A 7,725-nucleotide genomic window follows, 5' to 3' on the forward strand; every position below is an offset into this window, starting at 1 on the left:
AAATTTGTCTATGTTACACTTTTTTAACAACACAATCCTATTGCCCTTGAAATCTTCTTCAAAGCATTTCTCGAGTCACTCTTAAAAAGCATCTACAACCTAAAAGTATAGGAAGAGATTTATTTCCTGGAGAAGAGACCCCATTGAGATCTTAAAAGCACATATAATGTGCCTGTGCTTAACTTAAGGTGCTTAGGACAAAGAAGGCGATTGACATCTTTCAGGTAAAACCTGGTAAGTTTGGTGGTCAAGGAACACAACTGAGACATCACTTGGATGTATTTCTATGACTATTTTAAGAAACATAAATTGTGGTGACTCACTCAGCTCACTTTTAACTACTGCATGGTAATTAAAGATGCAAAATAAAATAAGTTACAAGAAGTGAGGTTTTTTATTGGTTAAAGCAATTTTTCTATATTTTCTCCGCAAGTTGGTCATAAAAGTTCTAAGCATTCCTCTTTTTATAAAATCGAAGCATTATTACTTACTCTCTTGTTAACCTATCTGGATTTTAATTTTGTAACTTTATTATATTTGTTTTGCTGTGATTCTTTAAAAAGCACCTTTAGACTCAGTGAGATAGCAAAAATATCCAAATAGGCCAAAAAATTGTGGCAATGTCCTCTCACTCAGGAAAATTCTGTGTGTTTTCTCTAATGGCCAAGGGAAAACTTGTGAGACTATAAAAGTTAGTCTCAGTACACAAAGCTCAGACTGGCTATTCCCAGATCTCTTCAGGTACATCTAGTCCATTCATAAAGGGCTTTTAATTAACCAAGTGGTTTACTAAAAAGGACAATTCACTACATATTATTCTCTTACAGTTTTTATGCCTCATTCTGTGAAAATTGCTGTAGTCTCTTCCAGTTATGAAGAAGGTAGGTGGAAACAAAGACAAAACACATATATTAGAAGAATGAATGAAATTGTAGCATTTTATTGACAATGAGATGGTTCTATTAGTAGGAATCTATTCTGCATAATTCCATTTTGTGTTTACCTTCTGGAAAAATGAAAGGATTCTGTATGGTTAACTTAAATACTTAGAGAAATTAATATGAATAATGTTAGCAAGAATAACCCTTGTTATAAGTATTATGCTGGCAACAATTGTCGAGTCCTCCTCCTCACTCTTCTGGGCTAATTTGTTCTTTTCTCCCCATTTAATAGTCCTTTTCCCCATCTTTCCCCAGGTCCGGTGTTTTCTTACCCACCTCCTTCCCTCCTTTTTATAATACCAGTGAAACTTGGTTTGGAGCATTTCTTTCACATAAAGGTACAAATCATACTGCTAGAGTTGTGAGGATTTTTAGAGCTTTTGAAAGAATAAACTCATTTTAAAAACAGGAAAGCTAAGGCCCAGAGATTTTTAAATGATATTCCCATGATCACACTGTGAATTTGTGCCAGAACCCAAATGCCTACTCCCATCTCAGTGAGACTTACTATAAGGACATAAGGCATTTATATATATATATATTATATATACTATATATTTATATATATTACATATTATATATATATAATATATATTATATAATATATAATATAAATATAATATAAATTATATAAATATAATATATATTTTATTATATAATATAATATATATTATATAATATAATATAATATAAATTATATAAATATAATATATATATTATTATATAATATAATATATATTTTATTATATAATATATATTATATATTATAGAATATAATATATATTTTATTATATAATATATATTATATATTATAGAATATAATATATATTTTATTATAAAATATATATTATAGAATATAATATATATTTTATTATATAATATATATTATAGAATATAATATATATTATATTTATATATAACATATATTATTATATAAAATATGTATAATATATATTATATAAATATATTTATATATTATATAAATATATATATTATATATAATTCTAATGGTTGAATTCCAAGAATAATCTATGGCATGAAAGATTTTACCTGTCAACAGTGGCTGGCTCTTCATGGTTGCTACAATGAGTGTGTAAGATTCTGAAGAACTCCTTTAATAAGCCTAAACTTAATGTTCAACTTAGAATAAATACAATTCTTCTAAATTTTTTTGAATAATTTTTAAAAAGTCAGAAATGAGCTTTGAAAGAATTATGGTGGTGAAGGATCCCCTCAGCAGCACAAATTCAGGAGAGAGATGTCTTAACTACGTTAGCAAGAAATTCCTTTTGCTAAAGAATAGCATTCCTGAATTCTTACTAACAGCCATGATAGAAAGTCTTTTGCTACAGATGAGAACCCTCGGGTCAACCTCATCCTTGGCATATTTCATGTGAAGATATAACTTCAAGATTGTCCTTGCCTATCAATGAAATGAATTAATTTTATGTCAATGCATATTTAAGGTCTATTCTAAATTGCACACTTTGATTCAAAAGAAACAGTCCAACCAACCAGTCAGGACAGAAATTATCTCACAATAAAAATCCTATCATTTGTACTGTCAATGATTAGTATGATTATATTTATTACAGTGCTAAGCAGAAGAGAACTGAAGTGAATGTTCATGATTTATTCCACTATTAGACTTCTCTTTATTCTTAAAAATATTTAAGATCACTAAATTTTTATAGGACTTTAAAAACAGTAATGTGCTGCTTTGAGTGTGTAGGACTAAGAAATGGGATTCAGAGTAGTAAAGAGAAAAGTGGAATTTCCAAGCACTATGAATTACTGTTCTTTAAAAAACAGCAAAAATCAAATAACAGTATTCCTCCAAAAAAGATGGCAAGTGTAAACTCTATACCTTCATGTCTCCCGTGGAATGTTAGTGATCAATTTCCACTTCTCTCTTTTACATCTTACTTGCCCATTAACTCTTATACCTAATCCAAAGATTGTTAATATGGCTATGCCTCACTTTCAGGACACCTTTTATTTGTTACTTCTCTTCACTGCAAAACTTCTTGAAACAGTACTTATTTTCTCTCCTCCATACACAATTGAAATGGCTCTCAACTCATGCCCAGAAGTCAGTGTTCAGTCTCTCACCTGGCAGATAGCAACTTACAAAGATGCCCCAACAATACCTCCTTGTGTCTAGACAGTCATCATTATCCTTTACCTTTTTCTGTATTTATTTCTGCTCCTAAAAGGGATCTCTATGTAAAGTATTGTTATACTAGTGCTTGTTATAATTATTATCAGAGTTAAAGCCATCACAATGTTCCCAATTACTTAAAGACATTGGAATAACATTTTTTTTATTTTCCACATCTTGCCAAAAAATATTTTGTTATCAGTACCTTAATAATGGCTATTATATATTGACCATTACTATTTGCTAGAAAATTTATATACCTGGTCGTATCCAATCCTCACAGAACTTCTATAAAGTTGTGCTATTATCACCTATATTTTCCAGATGTGGCCGTAAGACTGAAATCACTTAGGTGACTTGTCTAAGGTCATTCAGATACATAGTAGATAACCCAGGATTTGAACACAGGCCTCCTAGCACACAAGCTCATATCTTAACTACTTTAATACGTTGCTCGATGGGATCTTACAGGTCTTCATTCACCCCTTTCCTGCTCACACAACCACAACCTGCAGTTATTACCTACTGTTAGGCTTAAAATAATTACTTGGCTTCATTTCCAAGCTCCCTCCCTTCCAATTCACATTGAGTCCAGAGCTAAATTAAACAATCATTCAAAATTTTTCAGTAGTTCTTGTCTCTATAATAAAACAGAAATGCTTTAGAAAGCATTCCAAAATCTCTTACCAGTTTTATCTCCTATGAAAGTCCTTCACACTTTCTCTCATTTAAACTTTATTGCATTTTCCTCACTTTTTCTCACTTCACTTTTGAATTCCCTATTCTTTTATCCTCTGTTAATTTTTAAGTATTATATTTGTGATATTATTTTTTCTTTTTTTCTATTTTTTATCTTTCATTTCATTTTGGCCTATTTTTTTCTCTTAAGAACTTTAATATCACCAAATAACATGTGTGCTACAAACTGTTTTGTAGTTCAAAGAAAAAGGAGATAAACATAGAGTTATGGCATAGACTTAATCTGGCAGAGAGACAAGCATAAATAATGGTATTTTATATTAGGAATAAACCTAACATTAATGGAGACACTGAGAAGCCGAGATAACTGAATTATAAGGCATAGCCAGGGAAGTAGTGCGAGATAAAATTATGATCTTGTTGAATTCTGAATGTCTTTAAGTAATAGATTATAGAAAGTCACTGTAAGAGTGAGCAGAATGATATAAAATGAGGCTTTGAATTTGAATATAATAATTCTGACTTCCTTCTCCTTCTCTTCTTCAAGGTAACTGCAGAGGCTATTTCCTGGAATGAATCAACGAGTGAAACGAATAACTCTATGGTGACTGAATTCATTTTTCTGGGTCTCTCTGATTCTCAGGGACTCCAGACCTTCCTATTTATGTTGTTTTTTGTATTCTATGGAGGAATCGTGTTTGGAAACCTTCTTATTGTCATAACAGTGGTATCTGACTCCCACCTTCACTCTCCCATGTACTTCCTGCTAGCCAACCTCTCACTCATTGATCTGTCTCTGTCTTCAGTCACAGCCCCCAAGATGATTACTGACTTTTTCAGCCAGCGCAAAGTCATCTCTTTCAAGGGCTGCCTTGTTCAGATATTTCTCCTTCACTTCTTTGGTGGGAGTGAGATGGTGATCCTCATAGCCATGGGCTTTGACAGATATATAGCAATATGCAAACCCCTACACTACACTACAATTATGTGTGGCAACGCATGTGTCGGCATTATGGCTGTCGCATGGGGAATTGGCTTTCTCCATTCGGTGAGCCAGTTGGCCTTTGCCGTGCACTTACCCTTCTGTGGTCCCAATGAGGTCGATAGTTTTTATTGTGACCTTCCTAGGGTAATCAAACTTGCCTGTACAGATACCTACAGGCTAGATATTATGGTCATTGCTAACAGTGGTGTGCTCACTGTGTGTTCTTTTGTTCTTCTAATCATCTCATACACTATCATCCTAATGACCATCCAGCATCGCCCTTTAGATAAGTCGTCCAAAGCTCTGTCCACTTTGACTGCTCACATTACAGTAGTTCTTTTGTTCTTTGGACCATGTGTCTTTATTTATGCCTGGCCATTCCCCATCAAGTCATTAGATAAATTCCTTGCTGTATTTTATTCTGTGATCACCCCTCTCTTGAACCCAATTATATACACACTGAGGAACAAAGACATGAAGACGGCAATAAGACAGCTGAGAAAATGGGATGCACATTCTAGTGTAAAGTTTTAGATCTTATATAACTGTGAGATTAATCTCAGATAATGACACAAAATATAGTGAAGTTGGTAAGTTATTTAGTAAAGCTCATGAAAATTGTGCCCTCCATTCCCATATAATTTATTAATTGTCTAGGAACTTCCACATACATTGCCTCAATTTATCTTTCAACAACTTGTGTGTTATATTTTGGAATACAGATACAAAGTTATTATGCTTTCAAAATATTCTTTTGCTAATTCTTAGAACAAAGAAAGGCATAAATATATTAGTATTTGTGTACATCTGTTCCTTCCTGTGTGACCCTAAGTTTAGTAGAAGAAAGGAGAGAAAATATAGCCTAGCTTATAAATTTAAAAAAAAATTTATTTGGTCCATTTTGTGAAAAACATAAAAAAAGAACTGTCACATCTTAATTTAAAAAATATATGCTTAGTGGTAAGGAGATATATGTCAACTTTTAAGAGGTTGAAAAACAAACGCCTCCCATTATAAGTTTATACTTCACCTCCCACCACTATAACAACCCAGAATCCATGAGGGCATTATCAGGAGTGAGTGGAAGAGTAAGTTTGCCAATGTGAAATGTGCCTTCTAGGTCCTAGACATCTGTGGTATAACTGCTCATAAGCAGTAGAAAGAATTTAGAGGGATCCAGGCTCTCATCACGTTGGCACAAAGTATATTACTTGGATCCATCTATGTCATTTTCCATGGTTAATGTTTAAAACCACAGGCTTTAAAGTAAAAAACAAAGAGCTGGATTCAACTCTACTGACTCTTATTAATCATGATTTTGGGCACATTACGTAGCTTTCATGAGCTTTAGTTTCTACATTTATAAACAGGAGATTATACCTATTATGCACGGTTATTATGAAGGAAAATGACAAAATAGATATAAATCAAATAGCCCACTTCGAGACATATTAAGCATGAATAAACATTAGATACTATTAAAATCCTATATATTAACAAAGCCAAAAGTTTCAAACTTTACTTTTTCCCAACATTCTTGTGAAATATGACACATCCCAATCTTAACAGATGCTCATTTGGGATACTGTACTTGTGAGTGGAAGTGTGTATATTTGTGTGCAAGTGTGTACTCATATACTTCCACCTTACCACCCTAGAAAGGCATGATGAAAATTTAAGATAGAAGGAAAATATAAATTGAAAAAAAAAAACCTTAACAAATGATTCTGACAAATATCTTCTCTTTCCAGGGAGAATCACTGAGCCAGAATAAAATTGAACACTAAATATTCTAAGAAAAAAGGAATCTAGTTTGTCAAAATGTGACTTGAATTAATAGATAAGGAGAGTCAGATGATAAGAGGGTCAAAATTATGTTTATCTTAGGAAAAGTAGAATAGAAAATTTATAAGCAGATTAAAAACACATAATAAAAGTAGTAAATAATAATGACAGTATCTCAAATCAGTGCAGGGGGGAAAGGCCTACTAATGTGATGGTGGGATAATTGGATAGCAATATGGGAAAAGATATATTTAATTTATTTGCTACACCAAATGCCAGGACAATCTCTAAGTGAATTCAAGACATAACTCTTTTTTCAAAAAAACTATGCAAATATTAAAAGAAAACAAGTTAATGTTTTTATAATCTATGAATATGGTAAAGATGGATAACATTGACTATCAAATTAATTTTTAATGCGTAATAAAACTATGAGAAAATTTAAAAGTGAGAAGAAACTACTTGTAACTCACATAATAGACTAGTACTTCTAACACATAGGGAACTTCTAAAACAAAACCCAAAATATTAATAGGAAAATGGGCAAAACAGTTAAACTTACAGTTCATACATAAGGAGAATCAGTCTTTTTTTTTTTTTTACAGTTGTAGGCAGAAAACTTTTATTTTTCATTTATTTGTAAAATTTACCCCTAATTTATTCATAATTCATTTAACTGCTAAGGGCATTAATGTGTACAACGCCATGGGAGAAACCAGTATATTCAGAATTTCTCCTGAAATTTGACCAGAAGTTATGGACATCCCTCCCCTGGGAAGGAGGCAGGCAGAAAAGTTTGGAATCTATGTAGTAAAATATGTTACTCTTTTATATATATACATATATGTGTGTATATGTGTATATATATATACACACATATATACATACATACATACATACATACATACATATTATCTGAATTAGGCCTGGTCTTTTTTAATACTTTAAGTTCTGGGATACATGTGCAGAATGTACAGGTTTGTTACACAGGTATACACGTGCCATGGTTGTTTGCTGCACCCATCAACTCACCATCTACATTAGGTATTTCTCCTAACGTTATCCCTCTCCTTGCCTCCCACCTCCCGACAGGCCCTGGTGTGTGATATTCCCTTCCCTGTGCCCATATGTTCTCATTGGTCAACTCCCATTTA

At 32.3% G+C, this 7,725-nt stretch overlaps 1 protein-coding gene across 2 annotated transcripts; it reads left to right on the forward strand.

Moving 5' to 3' along the window:
• Nucleotides 1-827: 827 nt before the first annotated feature.
• Nucleotides 828-6,880, forward strand: OR4F17 (olfactory receptor family 4 subfamily F member 17). Of its 2 annotated transcripts, NM_001005240.3 has the most exons (3): nt 828-881; nt 1,197-1,279; nt 4,349-6,880. In NM_001005240.3, exon 3 carries the CDS (start codon nt 4,403-4,405, stop codon nt 5,318-5,320), a length of 918 nt encoding a protein of 305 aa, NP_001005240.1. In that variant the 5' UTR covers nt 828-881; nt 1,197-1,279; nt 4,349-4,402; the 3' UTR covers nt 5,321-6,880. The 2 variants fall into 2 exon arrangements, with proteins under 2 accessions (NP_001005240.1, NP_001416914.1); NM_001429985.1 differs by lacking the exon at nt 1,197-1,279.
• The last annotated feature ends 845 nt before the right edge of the window (nt 6,881-7,725 follow it).

Source organism: Homo sapiens, chromosome 19 (genome assembly GCF_000001405.40).
Source record: "Homo sapiens chromosome 19, GRCh38.p14 Primary Assembly".
NCBI classification, from domain to species: Eukaryota; Metazoa; Chordata; class Mammalia; order Primates; family Hominidae; genus Homo; species Homo sapiens.